At 48.4% G+C, this 25,570-nt stretch overlaps 1 protein-coding gene across 11 annotated transcripts in view, besides 5 other annotated features; it reads right to left on the reverse strand.

Moving 5' to 3' along the window:
• RIPOR3 (RIPOR family member 3) overlaps positions 1–3,522 on the reverse strand; it is a 105,435-nt gene extending 101,913 nt beyond the window's left edge. For 7 of the 11 annotated variants that reach the window (XR_936505.3, XR_936506.4, XM_006723713.5 and 4 more), the window contains exon 1: positions 3,106–3,522. Coding sequence is in view for 5 of the 11 variants with exons in the window: in XM_006723713.5 (XP_006723776.1) it covers positions 3,106–3,108 (3 nt within the window). In the remaining 6 variants the exon portion in view is untranslated. Of the gene's footprint in view, positions 1–1,700; positions 1,804–2,741; positions 2,897–2,920 lie in introns of those variants that run through there. The other 4 variants (XM_011528579.3, NR_110890.2, XM_047439913.1 and 1 more) reach the window with 4 other exon arrangements.
• Positions 1,750–4,605: an enhancer, noted in NCBI's record as "VISTA enhancer hs1860". NCBI's record gives its function as "enhancer in: midbrain (mesencephalon)[5/5]" and the evidence as "EXISTENCE:transgenic organism evidence [ECO:0001131][PMID:17130149]".
• Positions 9,207–9,368: a silencer, noted in NCBI's record as "fragment chr20:49313764-49313925 (GRCh37/hg19 assembly coordinates)". NCBI's record gives its function as "represses an EF-1alpha promoter that drives an FKBP-Casp9 reporter gene in an ReSE screen in K562 erythroleukemia cells {active_cell/tissue: K562}" and the evidence as "EXISTENCE:reporter gene assay evidence [ECO:0000049][PMID:32094911]".
• Positions 15,686–16,187: an enhancer, noted in NCBI's record as "H3K4me1 hESC enhancer chr20:49320243-49320744 (GRCh37/hg19 assembly coordinates)". NCBI's record gives its function as "activates a minimal SCP1, AML or CMV promoter by ChIP-STARR-seq in naive H9 embryonic stem cells {active_cell/tissue: H9 hESC(naive)}" and the evidence as "EXISTENCE:reporter gene assay evidence [ECO:0000049][PMID:30033119]".
• Positions 16,188–16,687: an enhancer, noted in NCBI's record as "H3K4me1 hESC enhancer chr20:49320745-49321244 (GRCh37/hg19 assembly coordinates)". NCBI's record gives its function as "activates a minimal SCP1, AML or CMV promoter by ChIP-STARR-seq in naive H9 embryonic stem cells {active_cell/tissue: H9 hESC(naive)}" and the evidence as "EXISTENCE:reporter gene assay evidence [ECO:0000049][PMID:30033119]".
• Positions 23,176–23,364: a transcriptional cis regulatory region, noted in NCBI's record as "candidate enhancer chr20.2420 targeted for multiplex CRISPR interference". NCBI's record gives its function as "positively regulates PARD6B gene expression with high confidence in K562 cells {active_cell/tissue: K562}" and the evidence as "EXISTENCE:mutant phenotype evidence [ECO:0000015][PMID:30612741]".

Here is a 25,570-nt window from a genome sequence, read left to right on the forward strand (position 1 = left end):
AGCAGTTTTGTTGATTTTTGCCCCCAGCAAAATCTGTAATCAACCTATGGTTACAATTGATGAAGGAGTGTAATTCTTCAGAAATACCAGTTAATATTTTCCTTTCTAAAAAATTTCTAATTATTTGTTTATGTATTTTTATTTTTTTGAGACAGTGTCTTGCTCTGTGGCCCAGGCTGGAGTGCAATGGTGAGATCACAGCTCATGGCAGCCTCAACCTCTTGGGCTCAAGCAATCCTCCCACCTCAGCCTCCTGAGTAGCTAGGACTACAGGCACGCACCACCACACTCGGCTAGTTTTTTCTCAAATTATTTGTAGAAATGGGGTCTTGTTATGTTGCCCAGGCTGGTCTCAAACTCTTGGGCTCAAATGATCCTCCTGTCTCAGCCTCCCAAAATGCTGGAATTACATGCATGAGTCACCACACTCAGCCTTGACTACCTTTGTTTTTCATAGAATTTATTGAATTGTAAGTTCATATAATTTAATTTTTAACAATGGTGTGTTTAGCAACCCGTTCACCTAATTCCTGAAAATCTGACAATCAGCTTTCACAAGCTGGCACAAGCTGCCTCCAGCACACCTCTGTCTGGGGACAACATGGCAAAGAATATCACCGAACTGAGGAGGAAGCCATTCTCTTCACATCTGCCCAGAACCCAGGGTATCTCAAGCACTAAACAGCGGGAAGCTTTGGGAGTTTACAGAGATGGCACCATGGACGCTGCTGTGCTGGGCAGGGAAGCATCTCCAAATGGCCTCAGAGGAAAGAGGAAGCAGGAAGGATGAATAAAACTAGAGACTGGTTCACAAAGGCACTCGAAATACCCCTTTGGAGCTCCCCAGGATGAACTGGGGGACCCTGGGGGGAGCACTGAGGTTCTGATGGGGAAAACCTCAGCAACCAGTGGGCATCTGGGCCAAATCACTTAGCACAAACGCTGAGCCACAAAATCATGATACGCTTTCAACAACCCATTAGGCACCTCAGAAGCTGCAGGGCCATAGGGTTGTTACAACCGACACCCATGCAGGTGGTACCACAGGCCATCAGTCCTTTTCCCCAAGTCCACCTTCATTCCCGCCTCCTCCAGTACCATCCTGGACTTCTCTAGGGAAGTGGTGGGGAGATTTACTCCTCTCCAAACTTCTTTTTTTTTTTTTTTTTTTTTTGAGACGAAGTCTCGTTCTGTTGGCCAGGCTGGAGTGCAGTGGCACGATCTCAGCTCACTGCACCTCTCCCTCCCCAGTTCAAGTGATTCTCCTGCCTCAGCCTCCCAAGTAGCTGGGACTATAGGCACGCACCACCACGGCCAGCTAATTTTTGTATTTTTAATAGAGATGAGGTTTCACCATGTTGGCCAGGCTAGTCTCAAACACCTGACTTCAGGTGATCCGCCTGCCTTGGCCTCTCAAAGTGCTGAGATTACAGGCGTGAGCCACCGCGCCCAGCCTCACTCCAAACTTGATCTTACTCTCAGACATCTTACTCTCAGACGCTTAAGTTCTCAGTTCGGAACTTAAGCGCTCTTCAACCAGACTCATGGAATCTCAGGGTTGCGGAGAGATTTTAGAGGTTTCCTGAAATAGTCCCTTTGTTTTAAAGACGAGGAAGCTGAGAGAAGGGAAGTGACTTGCTCAAGGTCACAGAGAAAATCCAGGGTGGAACTGGGTAGGGTGACCAATTGTCCCAGTTTACCTGGGACTGGGGGGGCTTCTGGACAAGTTGCTCCCAGATCTGAGACCACAACTCAGGGCTGACTTGTCCCCAAGGTGGGTGGTGGGGGGTTCACAGCCAGTCCCTGAAAGGAAAGGAGGCCTGGATCAGTACAGAGCTGCTTTGGGATGGAATTTTCCAAGGGAAGAAAAAAGAAAAGGCCACATCTGGGTGCTGGGACCTTTCACTCTGGCCCGATGCCTGGAACCCCAGGGATTCCCCACCTGCTGTGTGTTTCCTGGCCCTTGAGTGTAACCTGCACCCTCCCTTTCCGTGCCAGGGAGACACGAGCTGACTTTATCTGTCTCTTATCTCTTGGCTGCTGCCAGCCACAGCTGCAGGGATATATATGCAAATAGCTTACGATAATATTAATATGTGATTCCCCCCAGGGGAGGCATGTGGAAAGCGCTGTATGCGTTTCACAATTCTGTTTCATCCAAAAACACTGCACGGGCCCAGAGTGATTCGAAACAGATTTTCTGCAAAGGCAAAATAAAATTGGAACAAAACCTAGTTGAGGCATATGCCAGTCTCCCTGCCCCCAGCTCTCTCCACCTCTGACATATTAACCCTCTTCTCTCATGCCCCCAGGAGCCTCCTACGACAAGGCAGCAAATCTAGGAAATTGCACTGGGCACTCTTCGTTCAAGCCTGGAGCCCCTGCCCCATCCCAGGGCAGCCAGCCTCCACCCTGGGCTGACACATCCTTTAGAGAGTAAAAGGCTGCTTGCCAGTGTCAGCCTGTCACTCCTTCTGTCCCACCTCTGCCTCCTTCCTGCAGGTAATGCTCCATCCATACCTCCTTCTCCTTCACCCCTGCTGCTTGGGATAATTGCAGAACCATGGAGCACAGAATACAGAATACTGGGGGTGTACAGGAGAGTTTAGCCAAAGCAAGTCAGAAAAACCTAGGTCTTTTTTCGTTTCTGCCACTGACCGGCTGTGTGACCTCAGCAAGTCACTTCACTTCGCCCAGCTGCTGTTTCCTCAGGGTACAATGAGGACACCAATAATACTTACCCTGCAGGGGGCTTACCGGGATTTCCCGAGCCGACGCTTCAAAAATGCCTACACAGTGCCTGGCGTATAGCAGATACACAAGGAATAGCTGTCATCATGAGAATCTCTTAAAGATCACCTAGTTCAACCACTGTTTTAGAAACGGACAAATGGAGGCCTGCAGAGGGCAAATAACTTGCCTAAGGCCACACAGCACGATACCGCCATCCCATCTCAGCCTCAACCCAGGTTCCCTCCTCCGGCCTTGGGAGCTCCAGGTGGCCTGTGAGGAACGGCTGCCTCCTCCTGTCACCCCCAGCTCCAGAAGTCTGTCCACACAAGGCGGCGTCACGGCACACATGGGGAGCAGTCACTTCACACTCACCATCGAGCAGGTCTGGACACTCGAGTGCAGTCCCGCCGCCCTCCTTGCAGCTGCCTCACTTTCCCTATTGCCGCCAGCAAGCGTCTGCTCCCATCTGGCCCGGGACTCCCGGACTCGAGCTAGGGCTCTGCAAATTCCATCCACACTGGCCACCAGCCGCTGGTCCCGCTCTCTGGGAAGATCGCCTTGAGGACCTGCTGCGCCCCGAGTCTTCCTTCTGGTGCAGGGAGGCCGGTGCCCTGCCGGGCTCTGATAATGCAGCCGGGACTCTTATCTGGCCTGTGTCAGGGTGCAGGCGGCCATGGAGCTGGGGTTCCAGGAAGCCCTCCTGGGGCCCCCCAGCCGGCCCCGCTCCCCCCGGATGCCGCCTGCTGCTCTGGACGCGGCCGATTGCTTGTCAGTGTCACTCCCAGCTCTGCCGGGGGGAATTCCATGCTGGCCCCCAGCAGGCGGGGCCCCCACCCCTTCACGTCCCACCCCCCACTCCCATTTTGGCAAGGGGACTGGGAAAAGGCAGCTAATTTCAAGTCCGCACAGCGTTTGTGGTCGTGTCCTGAATCCTCCACGATTAATCACAGAGCATCTGATTTCTGCTTTGCCTCAGAGAGGGGCGGAGGGGACGCCTGGAAGTTTCTGTTTACTCCATTCTGCACCAGGCTGCGTGCTAATCACAAACAGACTGGGACGCAGCCTACCCCTCCTAAACTGCTCTTGGCCACCCCCTCCCTCCTCCAGCCCTCTCCTTCCTCTTCTTACCTTGTCACTTTCCTCCAGCCCCTTCCTCACTCTTTCTCCTTTCCCTCCTTTCTTTCCCCTTTCCCATCTGTCCGCCTCTTCAGTCCAGATCTGATCCATTGCACACCCCTTCCTTCCGTCCTGGGTTTCCCCCAAGCCCCTTTCCCCCTTTGCGCCTCCCACTTCTCCTAGATTGAGAGTCAGCTTGGTTCTTTCCTTTACATCCATTAGTGAGGGTCAGGCTCTTTTGTTATGTTTTTTTTTCTTTTGTATAACTTAATTATTTCAGGGTTCGGGGTGGGCGCTCGCCCCTTGCCCAGTCACACTGGTGTGTGTGCGACTCCTACAAAGTTAACAGTTTCTCCAGGTCAAGGGGTGGGATCCAGGCTTGGTGATGTGCACAATTTCTTTTGTCCACTTGACACATCTCTGCGTCCTGATTCTGCTCAGGGACGGACCCAAGAACAAAGCAGCCATTTACCGCCTCCGGAGGGGAGGCCAGCCCTGTGGCACATCCAGGGCCTTGGAACACCTAGAGACAGATTTCTCTCCCTCGCCTTGGCTCCTTTCCACTCTGCAGCTAGTGTGGAAAAGAAACCAGAAATAAACAGCACCAAAGAACAGGAACGGACACCCCTCCCCATTAAAGCACACACACAGACTCTGAAGGGTAATTTGGCAAAGACCTCTGAAAACCAGAGATGAGGGTCTCCTACTACTTATGCCTGTGCACAGGAGACAGGCACAGAGATGCTTGCTGAGAGCTGCTTATCATAGGAAATGATGGGAAATAACTGAAATGCTCATCCAATAATGACTGCTTGAACAAGATGTGAAAGATATGGTACATCAGGCAGCGGTTTTTTGTTTTTTGTTTCCTGACAATGGGCCTTGTCTGTCATCCAGGCTGAAGTACAGTGGTGTGATCTCAGCTCACTGCAACCTCCATCTGCTGGGCTCAAGCAATCCTCCTGCCTCAGCCTCCCAAGCAGCTGGGACCAGAGACGTGACCCACCATGCCTGGCTAATTTTTTTAAAACATTTTTTGTAGAGTCAGGGTCTTGCCATGTTTCCCAGGTTGGGATGAGGCAGCAAGGTACTTTTTTTTCTTATTTTTTTATTTTTAAAAATAAAGATGGTGTCTCACTATGTTGACCAGGCTGGACTCAAACTCTTGGCCTCATGTGATCCTCTCATCTTGTTCTCCTAAAGTGCTAGGATTACAGGCATGAGCCACTGTGTCAGCTTAGCCAGCAGTTTTAAAAGAGCTATGTCTGTATTGAAGAGCAGAGGTGGATCTCCAAGACATATTACTGAGTGAAAAGGGGGTCAGCATGATACATTTGGTAGAATGCTGATTGTGTAACATTCCCCCTTTACACACATAAAATGAAACACTGTGGAAACACTTAGACAGCAAGACAGGCTGGAAGGATGTAAACCAAACTGAGTTGCTACCTCTGGGAAAAGAGTTTGGGAGTGACGCTTTTACCTGTAATCCTTTCATTTCTAAAAGTGAGAATAGATTGGTCTGTTACTTTTGTCCCAGCCATCTTCCTTCTTTTTAAAAAATGTGTTTTATTTTTTATTTAAACGGAGTCTCGCTCTGTTTCCCAGGCTGGAGTGCAGTGGCACGATCTTGGCTCACTGCAACCTCCACCTCCCAGGTTCAAGCAATTCTCCTGCCTCAGCTTCCCAAGTAGCTGGGATTACAGGTGCCTGCCACCACGCCTGGCTAATTTTTGTATTTTTAGTAGAGACTGCTTTTCACCATGTTGGCCAGGCTGGTCTCTAACCCCTGACCTAAAGTGATCTGCCTGTCTTGGCCTCCCAAAGTGCTGGGATTACAGGCATAAGCCACCGCACCCGACCCATCTATCTTCTTTGGGGACATTGCACCCCTATGTGGAGAAAATTTCATCCCAACCGTTTGCTTCCTTGGACTAAAATAATTCTACCATAGGTCAGGTCAGAAATAAACAGCATTCTGCAGGAAGCAGTGGCTCATGCTCCTGTAATCTCAGCACTTTGGGAGCCTGAGGTGAGAGGGCTGCTTGAGGGCAGGAGTTTGAAACCAGCCTGGGCAACATAGTGAGACCCTGTCTCTATTTTTTAAATTAATAAAATAAAATAATAATAATTAAAAGAAAGAAAGAAACAGGCTGAGCATGGGGGCTCACACCTGTAATCCTAGCACTTTCGGAGGCCAAGGCAGACGGATCGCTTAACCTCAAGAGTTCAAGACCAGCCTGGGCAACATGGTGAAACCCCATATTTAATAAAAGTACAAAAAAAAGGCCGGGCGCAGTGGCTCACGCCTGTAATCCCAGCACTTTGGGAGGCCGAGGAGGGCAGATCACCTGAGGTTGGGAGTTCGAGATCAGCCTGGCCAACATGGAGAAACCCTGTCTCTACTAAAAATACAAAATTAGCCGGGAGTGGTGGCACATGCCTGTAATCCCAGCTACTCAGGAGGCTGAGGCAGGAGAATCTCTTGAACCCAGGAGGTGGGGGATGCAGTATGCTGAGATTGCACCATTGCACTCCAGCCTGGGCAACAGGAGCAAAACTCCATCTCAAAAAAAAAAAAAAAAAGTACAAAGCAATAATTAGCTGAGCGTGGTGGCTTTCACCTGTAGCTCCAGCTACTTGAGGGGGCTGAGGTGGGAGGATTGTTTGAGCTCAGGAGGCAGAGTACAGTGGTGCAATCTCAGCTCATTGCAACATCTGCCTCCCGGGTTCAAGCGATTCTCCCCGCTCAGCCTCCTGAACAGCTGGGATTACAGGCACAGTGAGATCCCACCACCATACTCCAACCTAGGTGACAGAGTGAGACCCCGTCCCAAAAAAAAAAACAAAGAACACCCCCAGCCCCCACCAAAAAGAAAGAAAGAAAGAGAAAAGAAAGAAAGAAAGAAAGGAAGGAAGAAAAGAAAGAGAGCGAGAGACAAAAAAGAAAAGAAAAGAAAAAAATGAAAGGAAGGAAATAAGGAAGAAAGAGCAATCCTTAGGGGTGAACCCAGAAATTCTGCAAACATTCTAGTTTGAATCACCTCCGGTTAGATGTCCAGACCCATGAGCCAACAGTGACTTATTCCAGAGTGAAATTCCTTCAGGGTAGGAGAGCCATCGAGTTAGTTTGTAGTGGGCTGAAGTCTCCTGGAAATGAGGTCGGCAGATATATATTGGAAAGCAAAGATTTGGTTTCAGGAAGCAATATCACCTACTCTAACTAATAAAACACAAAAACCACTTTGAAGCATTTTCAAGGAATGAATATGAACAAGTTCAGACATTATGCAAAGGGCAGTTGAGAAAGCCATTTCATTTCAGCCACTTCCCACCCCCTCACTGACTAAATATATGGCCACATGCATCTCACCGACAGGACGGGCAAATAAATGGCCCTTGTGTTCATGACAAGGAGCTGTGGATAGAATTCTGCAGTGTGCTCTTTTCTGTCCATCACTTGTTAAACGCCTGCCAGCTTTGGGAAAACAGCTAGGGGAGTTACTAGACAAGACAAATGATATTCCCCACAGCCCCCCATCCCCCACAACCACCACCAATCAGGGCACCCAGCCCTGACCCCATCTTCCAGGGCAGAAGGAAGCTCCAGGTTTGGAGCCCGGCAGCCTCAGGTCTGGGTTTCCAGCCTTCTTCGGATGTGGCACAGCCAGACCTTTCAGTGTTTCTCAAAGTGGGCCTCCCGAAGGGGTGCCACCCAAGCTGACTTTAGATGACACACAGACTGGGCACTAAACACTGAATCTCATAGTGAGAAAGCCATTTCCCTCCTATGACCATGCTGGTTCAATGCCATTTGGCCGGGAGAAAGTCTCAGCTTGAGCTAGCCTGTCTTTAACACCTAACATTGGCCAATCTCCCTTTTTAACAAAGAGAAAGCCGGCCCCACGCTTAGGTCATTCCACTGCTAACAGCATCTAGCTAGAACTGTGTTTGGCAATTGATCATGGTTTTCCATGAACATTCTATTTTTTTGGTGTTGTTTTTTTTCCAGTTTAAAAGTGAATCCACCAGATAAGGGAAAAGCTAACAAAATCCTAATAAAGTATAAAGTTAAATTAACAATAGTGTAACTATAATGGTTCATTGGTCTTGACAAATGTACCATAGTAATGTACGATGAACAGTTAAGAAAAACAATAAGAAATCCGTAGAGGGTGGATAGAGCCCTCTGTACTATCTTTGCAACTTTTTTGTAAATCTAAAACTATTCTGAAATAGAAAGCTTATTTAAGCCTGGTTGCAGTGGCCCACCCCTGTAATCCCAGCACTTTGGGAGACCGAGGCAGGTGGATCACCTAAGGTCAGGAGTTCAAGACCAACCTGGCCAACATGGTGAAACCCCCATCTCTACTTAAAATACAATACTTAGTCGGGTGTGATGGCGCGGGCCCAGCTACTTGGGAGGTTGAGGCAGAATTGCTTGAGCCTGGGAGGCAGAGGTTGCAGTGAGCCAATATCGTGCCACTGCACTCCAGCCTGGGTGACACAGCAAGACTCCCTCTCAAAAAAAAAAATAAAAGAAAGAAAGAAAGCTTATTTAAGTACCTTTAGTGCCCCCTACCATAAATCTATGTTTTTTTTTAAGTGTATATATGGAGAGAAATAAAGAGAAAGCAAATTGTAAGCTAGGCGAGGTGGCTCACACTTGTAATACCAGCACTTTGGGAGACCAAGGGAGGCTCTCTTGAGTCCCTGGAGTTTGAGACCAGCCTGGGCAAAATGGAAAAACCCTGCCTCTATTAAAAAAAAAAATACAAAAACTTAGGTGTAGTTCCAGCTACTTAGGAGGCTGAGGTGGGAGGATCAGTTGAACCTGGGAGGTTGAGGCTGCAGTGAGCCATGATTGTGCCACTGCACTCCAGCTTGGGCAGTGTCTGTGCAGGGTCTGCTGGGCAACGGAGCAAGACCCTGTCTCAAAAAAAAAAAAAAAAGAAGAAAGAAAAGAAAAAGCAAATTGTGGCAAAAATGTTAACAATTGGTGAATCTAGCTAAGGGGCTATATGGATGTTTTTCACACTATTCTTTCAATTTTCCTGTAGGTTTGAAATTTGTCAAAATGAAAAATTGTAGGGGGAGGACGTTAATCAATTTAAATACAAATATTAAGTACATAAGAGCCCAGGTTGCAAATGAATATGGCCAAAGTTGTGAAGGTGGGACCTGAGTTGGTGGCATTTGGTGGACCCTAGGCTACAAGATAGCCTGGCAAATAGCAGGGACAACTGAAATGATTTTTTTTTTTTTTAAAGAGACAGGGTCCTTGAACTCCTGGCTCAAGTAATTCTCTCATCTCAGCCTCCTGAATAGCTGGGACTACAGGCTGAAACCACCGTGCCTGGCTAATTTTAAATATACATATATATATATACAGAGAGAGAGAAAGAGAAAGAGAAAGAGAGAGAGAGAGAGACGGAGTCTCGCTGTTGTCGGCCCGGGCTGGGGTGCAATGGTGAGATCTTGGCTCACTGCAACCTCCACCTCCCAGGTTCCAGCAATTCTCCTGCCTCAGTCTCCTAAGTAGCTGAGATTACAGGCGTCTGCCACCAGGCCCAGCCATTTTTTGTATTTTTAGTAGAGATGGGGTTTCACCGTGTTGGCCAAGCTGGCTTCGAACTCCTGACCTCAGGTGATCCACCTGCCTCGGCCTCCCAAAGTGCTGGGATTACAGACGTGAGCCACTGCACCCGGCCTTCTTTTTATTTTTTTGAGACAGAATCTCGCTCTGTCACCCAGGCTGAAGTGCAGTGGTGAGATCTTGGCTCACTGCAATCTCTGCCTCCCAGGTTCAAGTGATTCTCCTGCCTCAGCCTCCTGAGTAGCAGGGATTACAGGCGTCCACCACCACACCCGGCTTTTAGTAGAGACGGGGTTTTGCCATGTTGGCTAGGCTGGTCTTGAACTTCTGACCCCAGGTGATCCACCTGCCTCAGCCTCCCAAAATGTTGGGATTACAGGCATGAGCCACCCCGGCCGGACTATATATATATTTTAGAGATGAAGTCTCACCATGTTGCCCAAGTTGGTCTCAAACTCCTGGCCTCAAGTGATCCTTCTGCCTCGGCCTCCCAAAGTGCTGGGATTACAGGTGGTGCCTGGCCTGGGATGATATTAAACGACCTCGCAAGTCCCTGAGCACCCACACCCACTCTCCATTACCCCAGAAGCTTCACCATCCATGAGGGTTCCCCCACATAGGTGTCCTTGGAGAGTGCAGAGGGCATTTCAAGAGCTCAAAGCATCTGTAAGCCTTGTAGTGAGTCGAGGGACCAACTTTCATCTCCCACCCCTTGACAACCAGAGAGTCCCTCTCCCTCTCCCAAGCCTCCACATGCATACACTCTCCAAATGCTGCAGCATTTCTCACACTGTCAAATGATTTCTGCACCTCTATTCATCCTAGAGCATTCTCATCCTGTTAAGAGGGCAGGAATATTCATCCCAGAGTCTAGAACAAGGAAGAAATACTCAAGAGTGGCCAACACCTGTAATCCCAGCACTTTGGGAAGCCAAGGCAGGAAGATTACTTGAGCCCAGGAGTTTGAGACCAGCCTGGGCAACATAGCAAGACCCCCATCTCAACAAATACTTTTTAAAAATTAGCCGGGCAGCCAAGCACGGTGGCTCACACCTGTAATTCCAGCACTTTGGGAGGCCGAGGCAGGCAGATCATGTGAGGTCGGGAGTTCGAGGCCAGCCTGGTTAACATGGTGAAACCCCGTTTCTACTAAAAATACAAAAACTTAGCTGGGGTGGTGGCACGCACCTGTAATCCCAGTTACTCGGGAGGCTGAGGCAGAATTGCTTGAACCTGGGAGGCAGAGGTTGCAGTGAGCCGAGATCGTGCCACTGCACTCCAGTTTGGACAACATGAGGGAAACTCCATCTCAAAAAAAAAAAAAAAAAAAAAAAATTAGCCAGGCATGGTGGCACGTGCCTATGGTCCCAGCTACTCAGGAGGCTGAAGTGAGAGAATCTTGAGCCTGAGGAGTGGAGCCTGCAGTGAGCTGTGATGGAACCATGCACTGTAGCCTGGGTGACGGCAAAACCCCGTCTCAAAAAAAATTTTTTAAAGGAAGAAATACTCCAGTGGGAGACAGACATATAAATAAGGACCCACGGCCAGGTGTAGTGTCTCACACCTGTAATCCCAGCACTTTGGGAGGCTGAGGCGGGTGGATCATTTGAGGTCAGGAGTTCAAGACCAGCCTGGCCAACATGGTGAAACCCTGTCTCTACTTAAAAAAATATAAAAATTAGCCGGGCAGTGGTGGTGTGCGCCTGTAATCCCAGCTACTGGGAGGCTGGGGCAGGAGAATCGCTTGAAACCAGGAGGCGAAGGTTGCAGTGAGCCGAGATCACGCCACTGCACTCCAGTCTGGACAACAGAGTGAGACCCTGTCTCAAAAAAAAAAGAAAAAAAATAGGGACCCACAAAACCAAGTGCTCAGTGCAGGGGCAGAGCAGTAGAGGCAGGGGGATGGACCTCTGCCTTTGAGGACCAAGGGGGTATCGCAGGAAATTATGTCAACAGGGTCTTGAAGGATGAGAAAACAGAAAGCTTCCCCGATCTTTCTAGATTGATACTCTGACCTGGCCCTCAAGGGAGGGCCATGCCCGGCAGCTTAAGGGTCCTGCAGAGCCTTTTGGTCTCTGACCCCAAATCCACTGGAACAATCTCAGTCCTTTTAAGGTGCCAGCCTCTCTCCTGTGTCCTGTGGTTCCCCCAGCCTGGATCTCTGTAGGTCCCACCCACCTTGCCTTTCACCTGGTTAATACCTTAACTCAACCCGCTGGAATCCAGCTAAGGAGTCTCAATCTCCCACAGCCTTCTCCAAGCCCCCACTCTGGGCACAGTGCTCCTCTACCAAGCATCCTGGCTGCCCCATCAGGGCAGAACTGGGTGAGCACATGGACCCTGGAGTTCCATCCTGGCTTCTCCGCTTCTGAGCTGCATGACTTTGGGCAAGTAACTTGGCCTCTCTGGGCCTCCATTTCCTCATCTGTAAAATGGGGATGACAACAGTGCCGCATTGCGCTGCTGTGAGCATTAGGTGAAATAATACTTGGCTTCTCGATGTGTATACAGACCAGCAGATTGGGCATCCCCTGGGAGGTTGCTGGTGCAGCATCCCAGGCCCCACCCCGGAACTACAGAACCAGATTCTGCAATTTTTTTTTTTTTTTTTGGAGACAGAGTCTGACTCTGTTGCCCAGGCTAGAATGCAGTGGTGCGATCTCAGCTCACTGCAACCCTCTGCCTCCCAGCTTCAAGCAATTCTCCTGTCTCAGCTCTCAAGGAGTAGCTGGGATTACAGGCACATGCCACCATGCCTGGCTAATTTTTTTGTATTTTTAGTAGAGACAGAGTTTCACCATGTTGGTTAGGCTGGTCTCAAACTCCTGACCTCAGGTGATCTGCCCGCCTCAGCCTCCCAAAGTGCTGGGATTAAAGGCATGAGCCGCTGTGCCCGACGTCTGCATTTTCTCAGGATCTCTAAGTGATTCACATACATGTTAAATGTGACAAGCACTGAAACATTATATGTAAAATACTGAGACTGCCTGACACATACTTGGCTCCTATTAAATGTATGTTGTTGTTATCATCATCATCATCATCATCCCACAGTATTGCCTGTTTTCTCATCCTCCTCCACCTGAGAGGAAAGACCACAGAGGGAGCATTTAAGCCAGCCCTAGTCAGAGGAGAATCACCAATCCCAGTGGTCTGAACATGAATGCCTGCAAACCTTGCCACCAAGGGCTACAGTACTCTGTGTCACGACTGCCATGGGCACCACGGCATCCTTGTGCCTAGAGTGGAGGGGGAGCTTGATAAACGCTGCGTGATTTTAAGTCATTTGTCTAATTCACATGGAAAAGCCAGACTGGAACCAGGCAACATCACTCTTGGCTGAGCCCTTTTGGACTCATTACTTCCCAATGCTCAAGCATCCTTTGGATGAAGAGCAGAGACAGAGCCTGAGTTTGGGGAGAGGATTAGGGGATGGTGCTTAACAGAAGGAAGAGTCTCCAAACCTATTCTACTTGGTAAAATCCATCATTTGCCTAAGGATAATGGCACAAAAATTCTCCCCCATGATCAACCCCATCTACCTTCTGCCCTGATGAGAATGGTCAGATTGCTGGAGTCTTTCTGGAGATAAATATTCTAATCCATCACTACTAGGCGTCTCCGCTACTCTCATCTTCACCCATCCTGAGCCTCATTTCAGGCCCCTTTGATCCCATGTGACTAATCTATCAGATAGAAGTCGGTTCTGTGGAGCTGGTGAGGCCTTTGGAATGACAAGCTCTCCCTCTGGCCTCAACAAGGACCGTAAACCTTGGTTCAGCCGAGGAATGAATCTGCCCTGAAATCTGGGGGCCTTATCAGTTTTGGAGATTAGCAAAGGCCGAGTCCTGACCTGAAAGAAAATCCCAGACACTCGCCACACTCCCTTTGGGACTCTGCAAAGTCAAATTTTTTCAGAAACCAATTCCAGTTAAGTAAATAGTTTCTGCACATGAGTGCCCACAGGGTTCCTCAGAGGACCTGACATTCTCCACTTGGTGACTGTCATTTCCTTACAAACACAACATTGAAAGCGATCTTTGCATTCCCAAAATGATTCCGCCAGCTGAGGAATTCTACAATTCTTCTTGAGTTCAAGGCTGCCACTTTATTTATTGTGTGCTTTTATGACAACAGCCCCTAAATGCATCCTGTATGATTTGATAAGGGCCTCTTGGCCCCACTGCCCCCATCCCATGTGTGTCTTTCTTTGCCACAAATTTCCAGCACACTGTTCAAATATGTACCACCTAAATTGAACCCTCATGCTGGGAGCACTAATGGGACGCCCCTTCAAAGCGACTTTCTGTAACCCAACAGTTTACATGTTGCTGGAAACAATGGACTTAAGCACACAATTTATTTGTGTTGGCTGGTTTCATGCTGGTTGGAATCTGCTTTGGGGGGAAAACAAACTCTGCATCTGTTTAGATTTATAATTTATATTGAAAGCACAAATACCTCATAATAGGGCTAGAATGAGACCCAGTTATGGGCAGGAGTCACCATATATGCTGGCTTTGTTCTTTCATGAATGCACTAAGAGATTACAAACTGCCTTTTTTTTTTTGGAGACGGAGTCTCACTCTGTCACCCAGGCTGGAGTGCAGTGGCACAATCTCAGCTCACTGCAACCTCTGCCTCCTGGGTTCAAGCAATTCTCCTGTCTCAGCCTCCTGAGTAGCTGGGATTACAGAGGTGTATACCACCACGCCCGGCTTTTTTTTTTTTTTTTTTTTTTATTTTTAGTAGAGACGTTTTGCCATGTTGGTCAGGGTGGTCTGGAACTCCTGACCTCAAGTGATCTGCCCAACTTGACCTCCCAAAGTTCTGGGATTACAGGCGTGAGCCACCGCGCCCAGCCGACAAACTGCTTTTTATAATATTTAAGCCATCCTCTTTATTCCCCCACGCAACCCGCCGCCTCCATCCCTGAGAAACATCTGCGGCAGGGGCCGTGCCCTGCCTGCCTGCCTGCCCTCTACACAAGCACTCTGATCTGGCTCTTTTCCCTGCTGCCCTGTGGAGGGGCCTACTTTGTGCATAGTCCTGGTACCCAACATTTGGGGGCTTCCCGGGGGGGCCAGCCACTGTTCTTAGTGGCTTGCATCAACTACCTCACTCCATCCTCACCACCCTCCCAAGCAATGGCATCCCCATGATCAGGGATTCCTCCATGATCAGGATGAAACTGAGGCACTTTCCCAAGGTCCCACAGCTTATAAGTGACAGAGCCAGGATTCTAACTCAAAGGGTCTTGCTCTAGAATCCATGCTCTCAAATCTTAGGTGCTTTTGCAGCAAAATCTACAGAATAAGTAGCTGGATTGCTCCATTGCCTTGACTTTTCATTGCAGTTGAGTTGGAAGAGAAATAAGGCAAGTGGCAAGAAAATAAAATATCATGCTTAAAATAAAATATCATAACCACTAAAGCAAAATGAGATCATGCTTCCCAAACGAAACCAAACAAGACCAAAACAAAATCTGGAACAGAACATATTCACCTGAGTGCAGTGGCTCACACACCTGTAATCCTAGCACTTGGGGAGGCCAAGGCAGGAGATTGCTTGAGGCCAGGAGTTTGAGACCAGCCCAGGTAACATAACAAGACCCCCATCTCTACAAAAAATTTAAAAATTAGCCAGGCATGGTGGCACATGCCTGTAGTCCCAGCTATTTGAGAGGCTAAGGCAGGAGGGTTGCTTGAGCCCAGAAGGTCAAGGCTGCAGTGAGCCGTCATCGCATCACTGCACTCCAGCCTGGCCAACAGAGAGAGACTCTGTCTCAAAAAAAAACCAAAAGGGCCGGGCGCGGTGGGATTACACACCTGTAATCCCAGCACTTTGGGAGGCCGAGGCAGGCGGATCGCCTGAGCTCAGAAGTTCAACACCAGCCTGGGCAACACGGTGAAACCCCATCTCTGCTACAAATACAAAAAATTAGCTGGGCATGGTGACATGCAACTACAGTCCCAACTACTCAGATGCTGAGGCAGGAGAATCACTTGAACCCAGGAGACAGAAGTTGCAGTGAGCCAGGATCGAGCCACTGCACTCCAGCCTGGGTGACAGAGCAAGACTCCAGCTCAAAAAAACAAACAAACAACAACAACATCAAAACCCTAATCTTCTTCACCTTCTTCACCTCCATCTTCAGGCCCAGACAAAGAGATGCCAAGACCAGAGGGGAGGCTCAGGCTCCCAGAGGATCCTCCATCTGTAAGAAAGAGCCACAGGTTTCAGGACAAGGGGCAGAAGAGCGTATTCCAGGGAGCTTGCTGCCTGAATCACTACAAGCAGCGTCCCAGTAAACAGGCCTCCTGGAACCCGTGCATGTGCCAGTGCTGCCTCTCTCATCAAAGGTGAGCCTATCTCTCCAACCACCTGCAGCAGGTTGGCACTGTGACATGCTTTGACACACAGATGAGGTGGAAGTGACTGTGCACCACTTTGGAACCAGGCCTCCACTTTGCACCTTCCACCTCTGTTTTTACTTTTTTTGGAATTTCTTCTTTTCTTTTTCTTTCTTTTTTTTTTTTCAGATGGGGTATTGCTCTGTTGCCCAGGCTGGAGTGCAGTGGCATGACCATGGCTCACTACAGCCTCAAACTCCTGGCCTCAAGCAATCCACCTGCCTCAGCCTCCCAAAGTGCATTAGCTACCATGCCTGGCCTGTTTATTGGAACTTCAAGACCACAAATGGGAAAGAAGCTGGGCTAGCCTCCTGGAAGGTGGAAGCCCGGCTGGGCACGGTGGCTCACACCTGTAATCCCAGCGCTTTGGGAGGCCGAGGCAGGCAGTTCACCTGAGGCCAGGGGTTCAAGACCAGCCTGGCCAACATGGTGAAACCCCATATCTACTAAAAATACAAAAATTAGTCGGGCATGGTGGTGCATGCCTGTGGTCCAAGCTACTTGGGAGGCTGAGGCAGGAGAATCACTTGAACTCGGGAGGTGGAGGTTGCACTGAGCTGAGATTGAGCCACTGCACTCCAGCCTAGGCAACAGAGCGAGACTCTGTCTAAAAAAAAAAAAAAAAAAAAAAAAAAAAAAGTGTGAGCTGAAAGAGCCGGTGAAGTGACCCATTGCAAGAGGAGGGAAGAATGCTTGAGGCTGAGGGGAAGAACCTGCACAGGTGGTTCTTACCAGGAGGGGTTAGGGGAATCTAGAATCTGGCTCCATTTTACATATAAATACAGAGCACTTTTTGCATAGTTTTAACAAACACTAAATTTTCCTGGAATGCAGTGACCATGTAAATTGAGAGAGGCCTGTGCTTAACTTCGTTCAGGAATTCACCAAGCACTGTTCACTGCTCTGGAGTAACAGTCCTGGCAGCAACTCCACCCAGCCGCAATGCCCCACACCTGGATCTTTCTGCAATGGTCGCTGTCACCTGCAAAGTGTTTCCACCTGTGAGTTCAAGCACCTGGATACTTCATTAGAACTTCCAGCATTAAAGTACATCTGATTTGATTATAAGTGACCTACCATTTAATCTCCTCGATTTTATAGTTTGAGAATTACACATAGATGTTTTCATGATCTGAGTATGTAGGTTATATTATTTATGAATTTCATTTCAGGGTAGACAAGGAGGCACTAGGTCTGGTAGGGCTGAAACCACAGGCATCTTCAAGCACCTCCTTTGGCTGTGTGAGAAGATGAACCAGGCTGACATAAGAACTAACAAGAGGTATGGAGTTAGAGCTCAGAGGGCCAGGAGATGATGTCAGAGGAGGATGTGGGGAAATCAGAGCCCTCATGCACTGCTGGTGGGGATGCAAAACCATGCAGCCACCATGAAAAATAGTCTCCAGATTTTCAAAAGTTTAAACATAGAATACAATTTTTTTTTTTTTTGAGACAGTCTCATGCTGTCGCCCAGGCTGGAGTGCAGTGACAGTCTCCACTCATTGCAACCTCTGCCTCCCGGGTTCAAGTGATTCTCCTGCCTCAGCCTCCTGAGTAGCGGGGATTACAGGCATCTGCCACCACATCCAGCTAATTTTTGTATTTTGTTTTAGTAGAGATGGGGTTTTGCCATGTTGGCCAGGCTGGTCTCAAATTCCTGACTTCAGGCGATCCACCCGCCTCAGTCTCCCAAAGTGCTGGGATTACAGGCGTGAGCCACTGCGCCCGGCCCATAGAATACAGTTTGAACCAGCAATTCTACTCCTAGGTATATACCCCAGAGAAATGAAAATATATGTTCACATAAAAGCTTGAACACAAATGTTCATAGCAGCATAGTCATAATAGCCAAAAAGTGGAAACAACCAAAATCTTCATCAACTAGGGAACGAATAAACAAAATATGGTCCATCCGTACAATGTGATGTGATTCAGCCATCAAAGTATGAACTACTGGCCGGGCACGGTGGCTCATGTATAATCTCAGCACTTTGGGAGGCTGAGGCGGGTGGATCACCTGAAGTCAGGAGTTTGAGACCAGGCTGGCCAACATGGTGAAACCCTGTCTCTACAAAAGTACAAAAATGAGCCAGGCATGATGGCAGGTGCCTATAATTCCAGCTACTTGGGAGGCTGAGGCAGAAGAATCACTTGAACCTGGGAGGCGGAGGTTGAAGTGAGCCGAGATCATGCCATTGCACTCCACCCTGGGTGAGGGAACGAGACTGTGTCTCAAACGAACAACAAAAAAAGTATGAACTACTAATACATGCTACAATGAATGGGGATGAATCTTGAAAACATTTTGGTAAGAACAGAAGCCAGACACAAAAGTCCACCTCTTGTAAGACTCCAATTATATGAAATGTCCAGAATAGGCAAATCTAGAGAGACAGAATGTAGAGGGGTGGCTGCCGGGGGCTAGGGCTGGGGATAGTGGGGAATGATAGCCAGTGGGTCTGGGGCATCTTTTGTAAGTTACGAAAATGTTCTGGAATTAAATAGTGATGATAGTTGTAGGACTCTGTGAATCTAAAAACCACATCCAAAGCTGGGCGTGGTGGTTCATGCCTTTAATCCCAGCACTTTGGGAGGCTGAGGTGGGAGGATCCCTTGAAACCAGCCTGGGCAACAGAGTAAGACCCCATCTCTACAAAAAAATTAAAAAATTAGCTGAGTGTGGTGGCATGCACCTGTAGTCCCACCTACTTGGGAGGCTGAGGTGGGAGGATCACTTGAGTCTAGGAGGTTGAGGCTGCAGTGAGCCATTATCGAGCCACTATACCCCAGCCTGGGCAATAAAGCAAAATCCTCTCTTAAAACGAACAAACAGCTCACACCTGTAATCCCAGCACTTTGGGAGGCCGAGGCAGGCGGATCACGAGGTCAGGAGATCAAGACCATCCTGGCCAACACGGTGAAACCCCGTCTCTACTAAAAATACAAAAAAATTAGCCGGGCAAGGTGGCAGTCACCTGTAGTCCCAGCTACTCGGGAAGCTGAGGCAGGAAATAGGAAATGGCGTGAACTTGGGAGGCAGAGCTTGCAGTGAGTGGAGATCGCACCACTGCACTCCAGCCTGGGCGACAGAGCGAGACTCCGTCTCAAAAAAAAAAAAAAAAAAAAAAAAACACATACGAAACCAAAAAGTGCATCTGTAAATTTAAAAAATTGTAAAAAAAGGAAAACAAAAAAGAGGAATCACTGAACTGTACAATTTAAAGGGGTGAATTTTATGGCACGTGAATGATATGTCAAAAAGCAAAGATGAAGCTGCAGAGATAAGGAGGGCACACCTAGGCTAATCTGGAGCCATTGAGGGCTTTAGGCATCACAGTGGCAATACAGGTTTGCGTTTTAGAAGGATCACTGTGGAGGATGAACTGGAGATGGGCAAAAACAGACAGCTTTAAAAGGTGACGAAGGGGGCCGGGCAAGGTGGCTCACGCCTGTAATCCCAGCACTTTGGGAGGCCGAGGTGGGCAGATCATGAGGTCAGGAGATCGAGACCATTCTGGCTAACACGGTGAAACCCCGTCTCTACTAAAAATACAAAAAAATTAGCCGGGCGTGTTGGCGGGCGCATGTAGCCCCAGCTACTCTGGAGGCTGGGGCAGGAGAATGGCGTGAACCCGGGAGGCGGAGCTTGCAGTGAGCGGAGATCGCGCCATTGCACTCCAGCCTGCGCGACAGAGCGAGACTCCACCAAAAAAAAAAAAAAAAAATGGTGATGAAGGGTGAGGCATTTGGAACAAGCCCGGCTTTGGGCTTGAGCAGCTGGTGGAGGCGGTGCCATTCACAGGAATGTTGGCAGCATCGTGTTGGGAGCAGTTTGCACTAACTTCTGTAACAGAGGTGCAATCACATACAGGGTTGATAAGATAAGAGCTGCGGCTGGGAGAAATTACTTCTGACTTTTGGCATCCGGGAAGGCATTTGGAAGAGGTGGCATTTAAGCAGAACTTTGCAGGTCAGCATAGGGCATACAAAAATTCGAAGGGCAGCCTAGGAAGAATGAGTTGCACCAGCATAGGTATGGGGGCTAGGAAATGCCCAGGTCTGCTGGGATTGTTTGGCCAGGTAAGATGAGAAACAACAATTATGATAACAAAACTAACCAAAAAGCATATCCTTCCATTTTTCACAACCTCTCTGTGAGGCAGTAGCATCTTTTAATAGGAGCCAAGATTCAAAGGAGTCCAGGTGACATACCTAAGGTTACACAACTATGAAGGGGCTGGCCAGTTTTGTTTATTTGTCCATTTTAAGAGACAGGGTTGGCTGGGCGCAGTGGCTCATGCCTGTAATCCCAGCACTTTCCATTTATTCTCCTCGAGGCGGGTGGATCACTTGAGGTCAGGAGTTCGAGACCAGCCTGGCCAACATGGCGAAACCCTGTCTCTACAAAAATACAAAAATTTCCCGGGTGTCATGGTGGGTGCCTGTAACACCAGCTACTCGGGAGGCTGAGACAAGAGAATCGCTTGAACCCAGGAGGCAGAGGTTGCAGTGAGCCGATATTGCACCACTGCACTCTAACCTGGGCAACAGAGCAAGGCTCTGTCTCAAAAACAAAAGAGACACGGTTTTGCTCTTTTGGCCATGCTGGAGTACAGTGGTGTAATCATAACTCACTGCAGCCTCAACCCCCCCAGGCTCACGTGATCTTCTCACCTCAGCCTCACGAGGAGAGGGATTACAGGCATGCACCACAACACCAGCTAATGTTTAAAAAAATTTTTTTGTAAAGATGGGCTGGGCACGGTGGCTCATGGCTGTAATCTCCACACTTTAGGAGGCCTACACAGGTGGATCACCTGAGGTCAGGAATTTGAGACCAGCCTGGACAACCTGGTGAAACCCTGTCTCTACCAAAAATACAAAAATTAGCCAGGCATGGTGGCATGCGCCTGTAGTCCCAGCTACTCAGGAGGCTGAGGCAGGAGAATCGCTTGAACCCAGGAGGCAGCTGGAGATCACACCACTGTACTCCAACCTGGGTGACACAGCAAGATTCCATCTCCACAAAAAAAAATTTTTTTTTTTTTTTGAGATGAAGTCTGGCTCTGTCGCCCAGGATGGTCTCGAACTCCTGGGATCAAGAGATCCTCCAGCCTTAGCCTCCCAAAGTGCTGCGATTACAAACGTGAGCCACCGCACCTGGCTGCTGGCCAGTTTTTAATCTCAGGTCTGTTTGAAAAATAGGTACACAGGTGAGTTCATGCCAACTTGTGGCTTGCAGACCTTATTTTTACAGTTAATAAAGTCATTCTTCCTCTTGAACTAGAAAACACTCTTCTCTGCATCTCTGTTTTGTATTACACATTCCAATCTCTCTCATCTTTCAATACGTTTTCTTGAGGGAGAAATTGTGTTCACTGTTTGGGAAATGTAATCTGCTCTACACAGGAGATGATTAAGGACTCTTGACACTTATATGTAGGGATGGAGAGTATGTATATTTTAGGTGCCAGAGAAACCATAATCTGTGAACAATATATCAATTGGGGTGATGACAGCTGCTTAATATTAAATACGAGATGTGGGTTCTTTCTGCTGCTTAACCTCCCTTACTTTGCTCTGAGCAATAACCATCAAAAACAAATACATATTCGTTGAATTTTTGTTTCATTCTGTTTGCATTCCAGCTGTTGAGATATAATCCTTTTTATATAATACATTTTAAAAAAATATTTGAATCTTTACCTTGTGGTTTTAACAGCCATGGAAAAAGTCCTGGCTGGGTGCAGTTGGCTTAATGCCTGCAATCCTAACACGTTGGGAGGCCAAGACAGGCGGATCACTTGAGCTCAGGAGTTCGAGACCTGCCTGGGCAACATGGTGAGACCTCCCTGGTGTCTACAAAATATTTAAAAATTAGCTGGGTGTGGTGGCACACACTTGTGGTCCTAGCTACTTAAGAGGCTGAGGTGACAGGATTGCTTGAGCCCAGGAGGTAGGGGCTGCAGTAAGCCATGTTTGCACCACTGCACTCTAGTAGGCAATAGAGTGAGACCTTTGTCTCAAAAAATAAAAATAAATAATAGGCCGGGGGGTGGGCGGCTCACACCTGTAATCCCAGCACTTTGGGAGGCTGAGGCAGGCAGATCACCTGAGGTCAGGAGTTCGAGACCAGCCTGGCCAACATGGTGAAACCCTGTCTTTACTAAAGATACCAAAATAAAAAATTAGCCAGGTGTGGTGGCACTCCCCTGTGATCCCAGCTACTCTTGGGAGGTTGAGGCAGGGAATTGCTTGAACCCGGGAGGTGGAGGTTGCAGTGAGCCAAGAACTCGCCACTGCCCTCCAGCCTGGGCGACAGAGTGAGACTGTGTCTCAAAAATAGATAAATAAATAAATAAATAAATAAATTTAAAAAATAATAGATAAAAAGGCTGATTTAAGGGCCCCATCCCAGGCCCAGTGAATCCAAATGTCCAGGAGAGATTGTTGTGTTTCTTGTTGTCGTTGTTTTGTTTTTGTTTTTGTTTTTTTGAGACAGGGTCTTGTTCTGTTGCCCAGGCTGGATGAAGTGGCTCGAATATGGCTTTCTGCAGCCTGGACCTCCTGGGCTTAAGCGATCCTCTCGTCTCAGCCTCCCAAAGTGCTAGGATTAGAGCCATGAACCACGGCGCCCAGGCTACTCTGCATCCTGACCAAACCTTAACATGGAATCTGTGTTATTTTTGTGGCTGACACCACCAGTGCCATTTGTTGGTTCCCTCTTTGCCAGATAAAGGTAAAGTTGTGTCGTGCTGCCTTGGGTCTGGGCCAAGGTAGTCTCGGCCTCTTAGAACCATATAGATTTTGACTGATCACCCCATTCACTCATAAGTGCAGACTACATGCCAGAACTATTTTGTTTTTGTTTTGAAACAGGGGCTCGTCGTGTCACCCAGGCTGGAGAGCAGTGACACAACCTTGGCTCACTGCTGTCTCAACCTCCTGGGCTTAAGCAATCCTCCTGCCTCAGCTTCCGGGGTAGCTGGGACTACAGATGCATGCCACCATGCGTGGCTAATTTTTGTATTTTTTTGCAGAGACTGAGTCCCTCTAAGTTGTTTAGGCTGGTCTTGAAATCCTGGGCTCAAGCAATGCTCCCACCTCGGGGTCCCAAAGTGCTGGGATTATAGGAGTGAGCCACTGAGCCCAACCAAAACTATTTTAGATACTGGAAATAAAGCAGGAAAAAAACTAAGTGTATGTCTTTCACAGAGGGCTTCGGGGAACTTAGGTTCTAGCGGGGAAGACAGACAAAGCAAGTAAATATGTCCAGAATCTGTCCTGAAGCAGAGAGCTGGGGGCTTGAGGGAGTGGCAGAGGCAACTTCGAAGGACCTGAAGGAGGGAAAGGGTGTGGGAGCTAGATTGCATAAAGGAGGAAAGATCACAGGAGATGGAAGGCTATTGTAAATTTAGCATTGACTCTGAATGCGATAAGAAGCTTTCAAAAAGCTTTGACCGGATGAGGGACACCATCAGACAGGTTTTACCAGAATCCTTTCTGGCTTGTGCAGAATCAACTGGAGAGGGGAGGGTAGATGTGGAGAGACCAGAGAAGAGTCTACTATAATAGTCCAAGCGTGAGATGGTGGTGGCTTGGAACAGGGTAGAAGATGTGGACGTGGTGAGAAATAGTTGGATTCTCGGTATATTTTGGAGGTCAAGCCAACAGGACTGGATGTTGAGGGTTGAGAGAAGTGAAGGAGTCAGGGATAATTCCTTTATTATTTTTATGATTTATTTATTTACTTATTTTTATTTATTTTATTTTATTTATTTATTTATTTTTGAGACGGAGTTTCGCTCTTATTGCCCAGGCTGGAGTGCAATGGCATGACCTCGGCTCACTGCAACCTCTGCCTCCCGGGTTCAAGCGATTATCCTGCCTGGGTAGCTGGGATTACAGGCACCTGCCACCATGCCCGGCTAATTTTTTATATTTTCAGTAGAGACGGGGTTTCACCATGTTGGCCAGGCCGGTTTCAAACTCCTGACCTCAAGTGATCTGCCTGCCTCGGCCTCCCAAAGTGCTAGGATTACAGGCATGAGCCGCCACACCAGGCCTGATTGATTGATTGATTGATTTTGAGACAGGGCCTCCATATGCTACCCAGGCTGGTCTCGAACTCTTGAGCTCAAGTGATCCTCCTTCCAAAGTGTTGGGATTATGGGGTGTGAGCCACCACACCCAGCCTGGGGATAATTCTAATGGTAGTCATCTGCAAGATACAACTGCAAAGATGGAGCTGTGATCTGCTTCTTGATGAAGAGGGAGGTGGGGAGTTCAGTGTGGACCATGTTAAGTGTGAGATGCCTACTAGACAGAAATAATGGAAGGGCCGAGTAGGCAACTATATATGCACGAATGGAGTTCAGGGGAGAGGCTGGGGACAGAAATATCAGTGTGAAGGCCACCAGCACACAGGTGGTATTGAAAGCCATGACCTGGATGAGATCACCTGGAAAAGAAGTCAAAGAAGAGAAGAGGTGCTTGGACAAGGAGGTCCTCAGCATTCAGAAGTGGGGGCCAATCACAGCTTCACTCCTTGGCTGGGCACTATGGCTCACGCTTGTAATCCCAGCACTTTGGGAGGCTGATGTGGGAGGATCGTTTGAATCCAAGAGTTGAAGACCAGCATGGGCAACATAGCAAGATAGTATCTCTACAAAAAAAATTTAAAAATTAGCCAGGCATGGTGGCATGTGCCTATAGTCCAAACTACCTTGCAAGTTGAGGTGGGAGGATCGTTTAAGCCTGGGAAGTTGAGGTTGCAGTAAGCCATGATCATGCCATTGCACTCCAGCCAGGGCAACTAGTGAGACCCGGTCTCTAAAAAAAAAACAAAACTTCACTCCACAGATGGGGGATCTGAACGTGATCAATTTAGTCACCAATCTCTGGACCTCCTTTGGTGTGCTGAGAGTGGAGGAGAGCGGAAAGAGAACTGGATTTACGTCCAAAAGACCTGCCCTCTGTCATTTACTGTGGGACCCTAAGCACAGCATTTCACCTCTTGGGAAATGCTGTGGAAACCAAAGGTGGGGGGTTGGGGCCAGAGCCTGGAGACCTTGGAAAGAACTGAGTACTATGCTAAGGGAGGGGGAAGGGAGGGGGCAGGGCAGGTTGCTGCCCCTGTAGCCCTCAGCAGAGGCCTCCTGTAACTCCTCTGGATGTGGCTTTTAGTTCTGGCAGGAGGTGATGAGTGTCTGACCTGGGGATGCTGTTACATGCTAACAGGGGAAGACCAGCATGTTAGAGGTTGTTTTTTTGTTTTGCTTTGTTTTGTTGTTTTGAGACATGGTCTCACTCTATCGCCCAGGCTAGAGTGCAGTGGCATGATCATAGCTCATTGCAGCCTCCACCCCCTGGGCTCAAGAGATCCTCCTGCCTCAGCCTCCCAAGTAGCTGGGACTGCAGGCATCCACCACCATGCTGGTTAATTTTTGTATTTTTTGTAGAGACAGGGTTTCGCCATGTTGCCCAGGCTGGTCTCAAACTATCCGCCTGCCTCAGCCTCTCAAAGTGCCAGGATTACAGGCATGAGCCACTGCGCCTGCCTGTGTTAGAGGTTTAGAATCAGGCAGCCACTTGAATATGGACAGTGACGGAGAAAGAGGGTTCAAAATAAAGTTAGAGTCCTGGATGACTGGAGAGATAGTGGTGCTGTTATCAGAGATGGATTACATGGGAGATAGAGCAGTGGAAGACA

Source organism: Homo sapiens, chromosome 20 (assembly GCF_000001405.40).
Source record: "Homo sapiens chromosome 20, GRCh38.p14 Primary Assembly".
NCBI lineage: Eukaryota > Metazoa > Chordata > Mammalia > Primates > Hominidae > Homo > Homo sapiens.